At 40.4% G+C, this 12,736-nt stretch overlaps 1 protein-coding gene across 5 annotated transcripts in view; it reads right to left on the reverse strand.

Annotated features, from left to right (window-relative positions):
- Positions 1-12,736, reverse strand: part of CNKSR3 (CNKSR family member 3) — a 123,171-nt gene that overhangs the window by 32,656 nt on the left and 77,779 nt on the right. For all 5 annotated transcript variants that reach the window (NM_173515.4, NM_001368117.1, NM_001368116.1 and 2 more), the window contains 4 exons: positions 10,302-10,421; positions 7,958-8,017; positions 2,745-2,813; positions 2,336-2,482 (listed from right to left, as the gene is read on the reverse strand). In NM_173515.4, the coding sequence (NP_775786.2) occupies positions 2,336-2,482; positions 2,745-2,813; positions 7,958-8,017; positions 10,302-10,421 (396 nt within the window). The remainder of the gene's footprint in view (positions 1-2,335; positions 2,483-2,744; positions 2,814-7,957; positions 8,018-10,301; positions 10,422-12,736) is intronic.

The raw sequence follows: 12,736 nt of genomic DNA on the forward strand, positions 1-12,736 counted from the left end.
ATAAGCCAGGCACATGTAGACAAATACCACATGATCTCACTTATATGTGGAATCTAAAAAAAAAAAAAAAAATTGAACTCTTAGAAACAGAGAGTAGAATGGTGGCTGCCAGAGGTTAGAAGGAAGGGGATTGGGGAATCCTGGTCAAAGGGTACAAAGTTTCAGTTAGCCAGGAAGAATAAGCTCAAGAGATCTATTGTATAGCACAGTGACTATAGTTAATAAAAATGCATTGGTGGCCGGGCGCGGTGGCTCACGCCTGTAATCCCAGCACTTTGGGAGGCCGAGGCGGGCGGATCACGAGGTCAGGAGATCGAGACCATCCCGGCTAAAACGGTGAAACCCCGTCTCTACTAAAAATACAAAAAATTAGCCGGGCGTAGTGGCGGGTGCCTGTAGTCCCAGCTACTTGGGAGGCTGAGGCAGGAGAATGGCGTGAACCCGGGAGGCGGAGCTTGCAGTGAGCCGAGATCCCGCCACTGCACTCCAGCCTGGGCGACAGAGCGAGACTCCGTCTCAAAAAAAAAAAAAAAAAAAAAAAAAAAAATGCATTGCATGCTAGAAAATTGCTAAGTTGCTATAACACTTGTAGATTTTAAGTGTTCTTGCCACAAATAAATGATAAGTATGTGAGGTAATAAACGTATTAATGAGCTTGATTTAGCCATTCCAAAATGTAAACACATTTCAAAACATTGTGTTGTACAATATAAATAGATACAATTTGTATCTGTCAATTAAAAAGTGAATTTTAAAATATGTTTGGTCATTATTTATAAACTGATTGTAATTATGTTCCCCTCTTGCCCTACCTTTATTACTGTGAGTTTTTGTTTGTTGGTTGGTTTTTGTTTTTGTTTTGAGACAGGGTCTCACTCTGTCATCCAGGCTGAAGTGTAGTGCCGCGATCTCAGCTCACTGCAACCTCTGCCTCCTGGGTTCAAGCAACTCTTCTGCCTCAGCCTCCTGAGTAGCTGGGATTACAGGCACAGGCCACCACGCTCAACTACTTTTTGTATTTTTAGTAGAGATGGGGTTTTGCCACGTTGGCCAGGCTGGTCTCAAACTCCTAACCTCAAGTGATCCACCCACCTCAGCTTCCCAAGATGCTGGGATTACCGGCGTGAGCCACCACACTCGGCCTCTCAGTTATTTATTTTTAACCTCTCTTCTGTGACACCTACAATGTCTCCAGTACCTTGTCTCACAAAGTTTCAAAGTTGATGGTTTAAGACTACTGTTCTTCCATAGGAAGACATACAATAACATCAAAAATAGTCACAAATAAACCATAATCTCAATCTTATAAAAGGGCATTATAAGGTTATTGCTTTTCATTCTTGCTTTATGAAATAAGCACTAAGGACCAATGGCATAACAAGGAGTGTGACCAGTGAGTGTGATCCACCCAGGTGTCGGCAATAAGAGGGTATATCGTTTGAAAGGAATTTAAATAAAACTCAGTCAGTCTTCTATTATCAGCGCAGATTGGCAATACTACATAATGTCTAAATAATGGTGTGATACTGTCCCCATGGGGTGGGCTGCACTCACCGCCCCCAACCCTCCCCTGGTAAAGCGCTGCTGATGACTCAACCTCATGTGGTCTCTCCAGGATTAGTGTTCAAACTGTATACAGTTATGTAGGTATGTGTTTGAAATGAGAGAGGAGAAGGACTAGAAGGAACTTTCTGCAATAATGAAAATGTCCGTATCCACACTGTCCGATATGGGAGTCACCAGCCATATGTGAATATTCTGCACCTGAAATGTAGCCAGTGATCATGCAGAGATTAACTTTTAATGTCATTTCATTCTTTTTTTTTTTTTTTTTTTTATGAGAATAGAGTCTCACTCTGTCGTCCAGGCTGGAGTGCAATGGCACGATCTTGGCTCACTGCAAGCTCCGCCTCCCGGGTTCACACCATTCTCCTGCCTCAGCCTCCCCAGCAGCTGGGACTATAGGCGCGCACCACCATGCCTGGCTAATTTTTTGTATTTTTAGTAGAGACGGGGTTTCACCGTGTTAGCCAGGATGGTCTCGATCTCCTGACCTCGTGATCCGCCCGCCTCAGCCTCCCAAGTGCTGGGATTACAGGCGTGAGCCACCGCGCCTGGCCTCATTCTTTAAATAGTCATATATGGTTACTGGCTACTATATATACTGTTCCATGTAGATCTAGAATTCATATTTTCACATAGGCAGGAGTATAGGATAATTACATACAAACTCCTGAAACCAATCAATCACCTTCAAATTTTAATCTCTTTTTGTTTGGAGACTAATGAGATACTCAACATTGTTGGATGGAGGTTTACAGTTAATCCCAGATACCTGTACAAGAGGTGGCTTCCACCGTAGGTTTTTCAGGGGAGCAGGAGTAAAGTTGAAAGACCCGGTGGGGCGCTTCTTAAGCAGTAACACAACTCCGGTGGGATTCTCTCTCAATTTCTTCACCAGATTTTTCAGCTGCCATCCCACCTTCAAAGAAAGCAAATGGGGAGGGAAGACTTGCTCATGAATAACGAAAAAAACCGAACCTATGAATTTATCTCAGGGCAGTCAGGGTTGTGAGCAGATACATAGAAACAAAATAGGCAGGCGTAAGTATGCTCATGTTAGCACAACCTAAAATAATGAAAAATAGGATATAAGCGGCAAATTTTAAAAATTTAAACAAAATGGTTTTAGATTTAATTAAAAGTTTTAAGGAGGAAAATTGAGCCTCAATAAACAAACTCACCACAGTTTGCTGATTAACTTGAATGACTTCGTCACCAGCATGAATCTTCTGAGATCTGTCTGCAGGAGACTGTACAGAAACAAAATAACCTGCCTTAATTCTTTTAAACCTTCTATTTCTTTCTGCTTTTATTTCTTCTTTCTTCTGTAGACAATTAGCAACTGAAATAACATTTTCTCAGGAAAAATAAAACAATGCACTTTATTCCCCTGAGACTACACAGTCTATAGGACCTTAACACATGAATCCTGTGTTATCTATCTTATTAGTGTCTGTTATAACTGATAATTTGTCTGTTAGAACAGCCAGGTTCAGCTAATCTATCGGGAAGAGACTGGACATACTGTCTTTTGTTTTGTTTTGCTTTTAAGACGGAGTCTCACTCTGTCACCCAGGCTGGAGGGCAATGGTGGATCTCAGCTCACTGCAACCTCCACTTCCTGGGTTCAAGCGGATCTCCCCCCTCAGCCTCCCGAGTAGCTGAGATTACAGGTGGCTGCCACCATGCCCAGCTAATATTTTTAGTAGAGATGAGGTTTTACCATGTTGGCCAGGCTGGTCTCGAACTCCCAACTTCAGGTGATCTGCCCACCTCAGCCTCCCAAAGTGCTGGGATTACAGGCATGAGCCACCGCGCCCAGTCTGGACATACTGTCAAAATGATTGGCTGATAAAAGCTATTGGTTCATCTAAAAAAATTCTTACACATATCCTTATCAAAATTAATCTCATAAAAGCTGACCAACTGTTCAACGTGGAAAATCATCTTTGTAAGTCTGTCATCTCGTTTCCTTATTAAAACTAAATGTTGTTCTCATTCTATCTTCTTTTACATATTATTGCAATGCTGTTAAAATAGAAAGTTGGTGGCAACAGAAATTGCTTTAAAGAAAATGAATTTAGTTTTCTTTTCATTTTCAGATTACATTCAAAAATGAGTCTTCAGTGTCAAAACAAAATCCAGACTTTTTTTCCTTCAAATAACGGCTGGTTATTAATTTACCATCACTGCAACAACAATATATATAAAGGGATAGGCCGGGCGCGGTGCCTCATGCCTGTAATCCCAGCACTTTGGGAGGCCCAGGTGGGCGGATCACGAGGTCAGGAGATCGAGACCATCCTGGCTAACACGGTGAAATCCCGTCTCTACTAAAAATACAAAAAATTAGCCAGGCATGGTGGCGGGCGCCTGTAGTCCCAGCTACTCAGGAGGCTGAGGCAGGAGAATGGCGTGAACCCAGGAGCGGAGCTTGCAGTGAGCCGAGATCGCGCCACTGCACTCCAGCCTAGGCGACAGAGCGAGACTCCGTCTCAAAAAAAAAAAAAAAAAAGAAAAGAAAAAAGAAATATAAAGGGATATAATCCATTTGTCAAATATTTTGCTCATGGTGTTCTTGTTCATATCAGCCACCTAGCCTAGAACTCTTTATGTTGAAGGTATCTCATATATGACTAAGAGAAGAAGAAAAGATAAACCTTGGATTTCAAATTCTAATCAAACATTATCTAGAATAGAGGATTTAATTTTCTAACTTACATTACTGGCTAAATCTTCAAACAATTTCCAAATATCCAAAAAATAGCACCTTTGAACACAGGGAGAGGGACAGCAATGAGACCCAAGACACACTGGCTGAAGTTTCTCTAAATTGTTGTGACAGGCTCAACGGGAAATTAACAAGCAGCCCTAAACTGTAGAAATATTCCCTTTGATTTTATCTAGGCCTCATACAAGGCCCTGGTAACTGTGAGTTATTTGTGAAAACATTTAACCTGCTACCGTACCCGACAGTGCTCACCTGAGAGACCAGCCCATGTTCATCTCAAGTTTCTGTTTTGTTTTTTTGTTGTTGTTGTTGTTGTTTTTTGAGACAGTCTCACTCACGCTCAGTCACCCAGGCTGGAATACAGTGGTGTGATCTCAGCCCACTGTAACCTCTGCCTCCCAGGCTCAAGCCATTCTCCTGCCTCAACCTCCCGGGTAGTTGGGATTATAGGCACCCACCACCACGCCCAGCTAATTTCTGTATTTTTAGCAGAGATGGGGTTTCACCATGTTGGCCAGGCTGATCTTGAACTCTTTACCTCAGGTAATCCGCCCGCCTTGGCCTCCCAAAGTGCTGAGATTACAGGCGTGAGCCACCGCACCCGGCTCATCTCAGATTTCTTACATCACTTAAAAAATGAATTTATCTATGCTCCTTTTTGTCCCTGTGTGCCAGATGCTTAACCTACAGTTAAAGGCCTACTTTAGTAATTCTGATCCTAATCGGTCCAGTCCAGTTAATCTTCCTGGGCAAAGGATTCATTTAAGATAAGCTTCACTTTACAAAAGATAGCCCCAAGGCTAGGAAGTCCCTGTCTCTAGATGTGTAATCTTAAAAAACATGCTCTGATGTCCTGAATTGACTTCCCTTCCTAAGGATCCTTTTGCCTTCATTTCTCAAATGTCCAATCAAGTGATTAAGAGTTGTGTTTGGCAGAACACTGGTAAAGAGAGAGCTTGGTACCAAAATTCTGCCCAGGGCAGTAGCTCTTGCCTATCTTCACCATGAGGAGGACTACTGAAAAATGATGCTTGTGTTGGTTTGCTGCAGAAGGGTCATGACCTAGAGAATAATGCACCCATTCTTCAGAGGCTAATCTAACTCCCACCGGATCTCAGGGGTGGAGGACAGAAGTATGGATGAGGCTGTGTCAAGACTCTTGTCAAGGTCTAAAATAACATCAAAAAAAGAAATAAGAGAAACATCAGACACTGCTTGTCTGACTTTGGAATGATCCTGGCCTCTCAGGTAACCTTCAAAGAAATGGACTGAAGGCCTTGCTTGCTTCAGCCTCAAGTCCAAGATTGAAGAATATGGACATAATTCACTTGTGAAAACAATGGGTGATTTTCATCCACTGCTACCCACCATACTAGGCTTCTTCCATTAAAACATTCTGACAGTGAAGTCATAGCAACCTTAAGTGATAGCCAAAAGCTGACCTGGAGCTGGCACTTTCTACTGCCATTCAAGTGTATTAATACCCAACATTAAGAATAAAATATCCAGATTGAGCCTGGGAGAAGTGGGCTCTCACCTAACTTCCCATGCTTGTCTAGAAGACTTAGACTTACTTAGCCTAGTGTCTAGCACATTCCAGGTCCTCAATAAATGCGAATTGAATGACTAAAGGAATGAGTGACATTTTCAAGTGGATTACCAGATGGAAGAAGACAAGTTTTCTTTTTTGATCTCTAACAAGATGGTAGCCACCACTCCCTGAGACGACTTCCATACAGTCCTACATGGGAATACCAGGACAGCCCCTGAGTCTGTTAGCCAGTGTTACAATTCTGGTAGGAATTCAGGGAATATATCATTAATGGCATATGACATTTCATTTAATTCAAAAGCAGCTTTGTTTAGTCTGTCATTGAACTCTTTTATTTATTTATTTATTTATTTATTTATTTGAGACAGAGTCTTGCTCTGTCACCCAGGCTGGACTGTGCAGTGGCTCGATCTCGGCTCACTGCAGCCTCCCGGGTTCAAGCAATTCTCCTGCCTCAGCCTCCCGAGTAGCTGGGATTACAGATGCGTGCCACCACGCCCAGTTAATATTTTGTATTTTTAGTAGAGACGGGGTTTCACCATGTTAGCCAGGATGGTCTCGATCTCCTGACCTTGTGATCTGCCCACCTCAGCCTCCCAAAGTGCTGGGATTACAGGCGTGAGCCACCGCACCCGGCCCGTCTTTTCTTTAAAACGGGGGGTGGTGCAAGAGGAAGGAAGTACTATGCCTTCCAGTAGTAATTCTGTAGTGCTCCAGATCCAAGAGGGAAATTGCTTCAAGAAGACCCAATAGAGTTGGAAAACACACTGGTCTGGTTAAGACAGACAACGTAATCATCAAATTGCTAGATTGCAAAACTTCAACTCTAAAAACTGAAAAGACATTCACCATGTTTCTCTTCCATACAAACAGATATGACTGTGTTCTTATCACGGCTGAGCTGCAATGTACTGAGTCTCGATCAAGGATGAAGGAAGAATCGTGTGTTGCATCTTGTGTCTTTTCTTCCGCACCATCCCCAGCCTAAAAGCAGAGCTTCCTGTGCTGTTATTGTCTAGGAGGTGACATGGTATAAAAACTCCTAGTGACTCTCAGGGCTTCCTCGCTGCAGCTCAACAGAGAATCCTGAAACACACTACCATTTCCTACCCATTCATCTGCCAGAACCATGCAATGTATTTATAATTCATTGACTGCCTTAAGCAGTATCATTTTCTCACTACAAACATCAAGTGCTTATCACAGACACTCAAAGATCATGCCATTTTCCTTTATCAAAAGATCTAGCATCTGAAGCTCAAAATTAGACACATATTTCTACCAAACAGATTAGAAAAGCAGCTACTAAAATTTCCCCTAATTTTAGGAATTATCTCCTCCTGTCTTAGCTGATTAAATAGGTTAATTCCCCCAAATACATGCTTCTTTTGCACAGACCCAGGGAAGCTATTCAAACATTTTTAGTTTCATATCAATGTCTTTCAAAAGCAAGCCACATTGTAGGCTGCAAGAAGAAAGCATTCAACCAGCTCTACTTCTCACAAATTCAAAATGTTTGAGGGGCTAAAGACAACTCTACACATAGCAGAATTTCCAGAAGGAAGTACACAGTGTACAGAAGTCTCTCACAGTAGAAACAGACCTGCTTTTCCTATTCAAGGGCTGGGGAGAGAGGACTAAACTTCAATATCATGCCAAATATTATGAAACACAACTATAAAAATATGTTGTAAAAAATCCTGAAATAGCTGCTTTGGAGACATAAAAATTCCATTAAATAAAAAAAATTATATTTTATACACATGGCCACCAATCCCAGTTCTTATAAGAGTGACTCTCAAAAACAAAAAGATCATTGCTTTTGTATTTATGGCTTAACACTTCCAGTGTGCAAAAGGAATAATTAACACAAGGGTAGGGGTAAAAACTGGGCAAGGTATATGAACAAGAGCAATAAAGGACAATTTAAATAATAGATTGACAACAGCTGGTGACAAGCAGTACTCTATCAACAGAAATAAACAAAGCAGGTACCCACGCTCTCACAATAATCAAACAGCATGCACACGTTTAAATTCAAAGTATAGAGACTGTGGATCAAATCTGTTTAAACACACAACAGATTTTACACTTAATGAATATACACTTACATTTTCTGTGGTTCCAGTAATCACGTGTAACCCATCATAGGTTGATTTGATGTACATGCCCTGGAGTGAATCACAAATAGATTAACTCATTACTCCAACGTTTAGAGACATAGCCCCGAGTGAGACTTAAACTTATAAAACATTAACAACAGTCCCTTCAGAACAATACTCATTTTTCAGCCTCCTGAAACATCGAGAAACAAGATCCAAAGGGTGGTGAAGGGGAGCTAAGCAAACTGAAATACTGGTGAAAGAAATAAAACATGTGATCTCTTTGATACTATAATCTGTGTACCAGGCACACAGAATTATGCCACAACTCCGAGGATGTGGGAGTGTTCTTAGACCTACAGGATGAGTGAATGAGTGAGGCACTTCAAACAACAACTGTTCTATTATGTTAATAATGAGACATGGTCTTGCTAAGTTGCCTACACTGGAGTGTAGCGATGCAAACACAGCTCACTGTAACCTTGAACTCCTGGGCTCAAGTGATCCTCTCACCTCAGCCTCCCCAAGTAGCCAGGACTACAGGTGTGTGCTACCACACCCAGCTAATTATTTTTTTTTTTTAATAGAGAAAGGATCTCACTATGTTACCCGGGCTGGTTTCAAACTCCTGGGCTCAAGTGATCCTCCCATCTCGGCCTCCCAAAGTGCTGGGATTATAGGTGTAAGCCACCACACCCAGCCAAAGAACAGTTCTTTCTTGACCATTTCTCTGTCTAGGGACACAATATATTCATTTAAATTTGGTAACAGAAATAACCTCAGAGTGACTATTAAAGCTACTAATAATCCAGACAAAGATATATGAACAAAGATTGTTAAATAACAAAGCATAGGTAGCAAATTAGTAACAGACACCCCTCCTTTTAAGGGAAATGTAAAGATGAATGAATATTCTCTCTCCTCAGAGGCCTGAGAGGTAAACTCAGAGGCCAATGCCTCACTGAGTGATACACCGAATGTATCATTGAGGAACTATTTCTGCAGTTGGACTCACCACGTGTACATTTTTTTTAAATTAAACTGTTACAAGATGGGGAAAGAGAGCAAAAAGTAGACCAGGTAAAAAGTAGTTGCTCATCCTGGTATCTATGCTGTAATAATGTGGACCCTCCTCAGAAATTATGCTGCACCCAGCCTGCTCATCAACCTACGCTAATCTATGATGAGAGCCCCATCAAACACCAGCGCCTTCAGGTTCTCCTGATTCCTCTCCTATCCTGTTACTTTCACTCGCAGATTATATCAGCTTCTCCTCTACACATGGTACTCCCCCTCCCAGGGCATTGCTGGTATAACTTTACCATCTGAAATGACAACTCCATTTCTGCCTACTCAGGACATTTATCTGCTTAAATATGTGACTATAAACCTACCTCCAGGAAGTCCTCCCTGTTTAAACTTAATCTGATATAATCCATCATTTGCTTTGAAGCCAAGCAGTACCAATATGCATTTTTCTGCTCACTAAGAATGTGGGCCTGTCAACAATTGGTTGATTTTTGTTTTTTCTAAGAGCAGAGACTGCCTTAACAGCTCCTGACAGCTACCTATACATTAGATACTTTCCCCCTCCCCCGTCTCCTCCTCCTCCTTCTCCTCAACATCATCAATACCAGCAACTGTAGCTGCAGCCACATTAATGCACACGTACTATATGCTTGGTGCCTGGTACTTGGCATTCACAATCTAATACAATACTTTCAACAACCCTCTGAGGAAACTGACATGTAAAGAGGTTAAGTCCCTCAAGAGCCGGGATTTAAACCCAGCTCTCTCTGACTCAAAGCCTCTAAGCTAATTAATGGGCTTCACAGCTTCTTCACGAAAATTTCAGCAAATTAATCCCATAAGATGCACGCTAGGTACTAGGAGATCACTTGTATGTAGTCCCACAGCCTGTTATGATATAGCTCATATATTACTTATGAAACATTTCTAAACCCTTCTTAAGAATCACTGCCTTCAGCCAGTCCCTTCTCACATTCATCCTAAGTGCTAATACTTTCAGAGCAGATGTTATTTTTGTACCCAGAGACCATCTTTCCTTTGTGTAAGTGTTTTATATTTCCTTGCATTGCTAAGTCCTAAAAATAAAGTGTTATCTTCAAAATACGAGTATACAGTTTTTAAACTGTATTTATTTTTATACTTTGTGGATAGAAAACATATCAACAGGATTCAAGATAGCACATTCCTAATTACATAATGGAAGGCAGTCTAAATTAATTCTGCTTTTCAGAATTATAGTGAAAGCAATAAGGAATTTTTTTAAAAATTTAGTAAATGATGATGTATGTTATCTGAAAATAAAACAAGTGTTATTAGAACTTACCAGGCCTTCCCCAGGTTTAATGTTTGGTAAGTGAACTTCCTCCAGACATGCACACTGGCTCATCACAGGATCTGTGGTAGATCGGATTGTTTTGTCACAGATGCCATTTAAAACCTTGACCTAGAATTGGAGAAGCAAATAGTCAGGAAAGTTCAATCATTAACCAAGTTTATCTCAAGCTGATTTTTAGAGAAATGCATTTCACCTATAATTGTTAGTTCTGGTTGGCAATCATTTTGATAATTCTGCTCAGTGAATGCATGGCATTTAGACTCCATGTTTACCATCTGTGGGAATAGTGCCACTATTTCAGCTTTGTTTAGAAAAGGCAGCTTTTATATTAGCTCCTTTATGGCCACTGAAGAGCACAGGCCAGGCAGAAATCCCCTTTCAGCAATGAAGTGGAATCATCTCTCCCCAACCACCTACCTGACTTTTCAATGATTGCTCACAGTCTCTGAATACCAAATATTGACAAGGTAAAAAAAAAAAAAAATTGTTTTGAGACTAAGCCATTTTTTCAATGGACTTTACTTTTTTAAGCTGTTTCACGTTTATAAAAAAAAAAAATTGAACAAAAAGTACATTGAGTTCCCATATATCCCCTCCACCACCAGCCTCCATTCCCAGTTTCCTCTATTATTAACATCTTGTACTAGGTGTGGTGCATTTGTTATAAATGACAAACTAGGACGGGCACAGTGGCTCATGCCTGTAATCCCAGCACTTTGGGAGGCTGAGGTAGGGGGATCACCTGAAGTCAGGAGTTCAAGACCAGCCTGACCAATATGGCAAAACTCCATCTCTACTAAAAATACAAAAATTAGACGGGCATGGTGGCGTGTGCCTGTAACCCCAGCTACTCGGGAGGCTGAGGCTGCAGAATTGCTTGAACCTCAGAGGCAGAGGTTGCAGTAAGCCGAGTCGCACCACTGCACTCTAGCCTGGGTAACAGAGCGAGACTCTGTCAAAAAAAAAAAAAAAAAAAAAGCCACCAAAAACAAATTATGAACTAATATTGAGACACTATTATCAACTAACATCTATAATTTATATTAGGGTTCACTTTTTGTGGTGTACATTCTATGAGTTCTGACAAATGCCTAATGTCACGTATCCTTCATTACAGTATCATATAGGATAGTTTCAGTGTCCTAAATATCCCCTGTATGCAACCTAATTATCCACCACCCCATCCCTCACCATGAACCCCTGGCAAACATAGATCTTTTTACTGTCTCTGTGGTTTTGATTTTCTAGAAAGTCAAATAGTCAGAATTATGCAGCATGTAGTCTTTTCAGACTGCCTTATTTCAATTAACAACATACTTGTAAGTTTCCTCCATATCTTTTCATGACTTGATAGCTTATTTCTTTTTTATTGCTGAATAATATTCTATTTTATAGATGTACAACAGTTTGTTTATCCATTCATCTATTGAGAGACATTAAGGTTGCTTCCAACTTTTTTGGCAATTTTGAGTAAATCTGCTATAAACATCCTGTGCACATTTTTTGATGTAAATTTTCAACTCCTTTGGGTAAATATGTAGGAGCACAACTGTTGGATCATATGGTAAGAATATGTTTAGTTTTGTAAGAAACTTCCAAATTGTCCTCCAAACTGCCTGCACCATTTTGCATTTCCACCAGCAATTAACGAGCGTTCCTGTTGCTCCACAACCTCAGCAGCGTTTGGTGTTGTCAGTGTTTCATATTTTAGCCTATATAATAGGTATATGGCGGTATCTCATTGTTGTTTTAATTTACAATTCCCTAATACAAATGACATTGAACATCTCTTCATAGGCTTATTTGCCATTTGTATGTATTCTTTGGTGAAGTACCTGTTCAGATCTTTTGTCTCCTTTTTAATTGGGTTGTTTGTCTTCTTATTCTTGTTTTTTGTATATTTTGTTCTTGTTCTTTGTATATTTTGGATACAAGTCCTTTATCTGATAGGTGTTTTGAAAATATATATCCTCCCAGTCTGTGGCTTGTCTTTTCATTCTCTTAACAGTGCATTTCACATAGCAGTTTTTAATTTTAATGAAGTCTACCTTATCAATTTTTCTTTCATGAATTATGCTTTTGGTGTTCTATCTGAAAACTCATTGCAAAACACAGTCACCCAAATTTTCCCCTATGTTATCTTTTAGATGGTTTATAGTTTTGCATTTTACATTTAGGTCTATCATCTTTTTAGTGATCACTCACATTCTTTGAATGCCAAACACTGACAAGGTAAAACTAAAGAGACAATGAGAGGATCCCTATTAAGTGGTCTCCTTATAGAAGTCACAGTGGCTACGTGTGGTATTTCCCCAATCAGACTCATCTAACCTTTCAAAATTAAACAACCAAAGAAATCAGGAAATTCCAAAGAGTGATTTTTCTTTCCAAGGGGGAGAATCCAAGAAGTGATACTTTTTACA

Source organism: Homo sapiens, chromosome 6, assembly GCF_000001405.40.
Source record: "Homo sapiens chromosome 6, GRCh38.p14 Primary Assembly".
Taxonomy (NCBI): domain Eukaryota; kingdom Metazoa; phylum Chordata; class Mammalia; order Primates; family Hominidae; genus Homo; species Homo sapiens.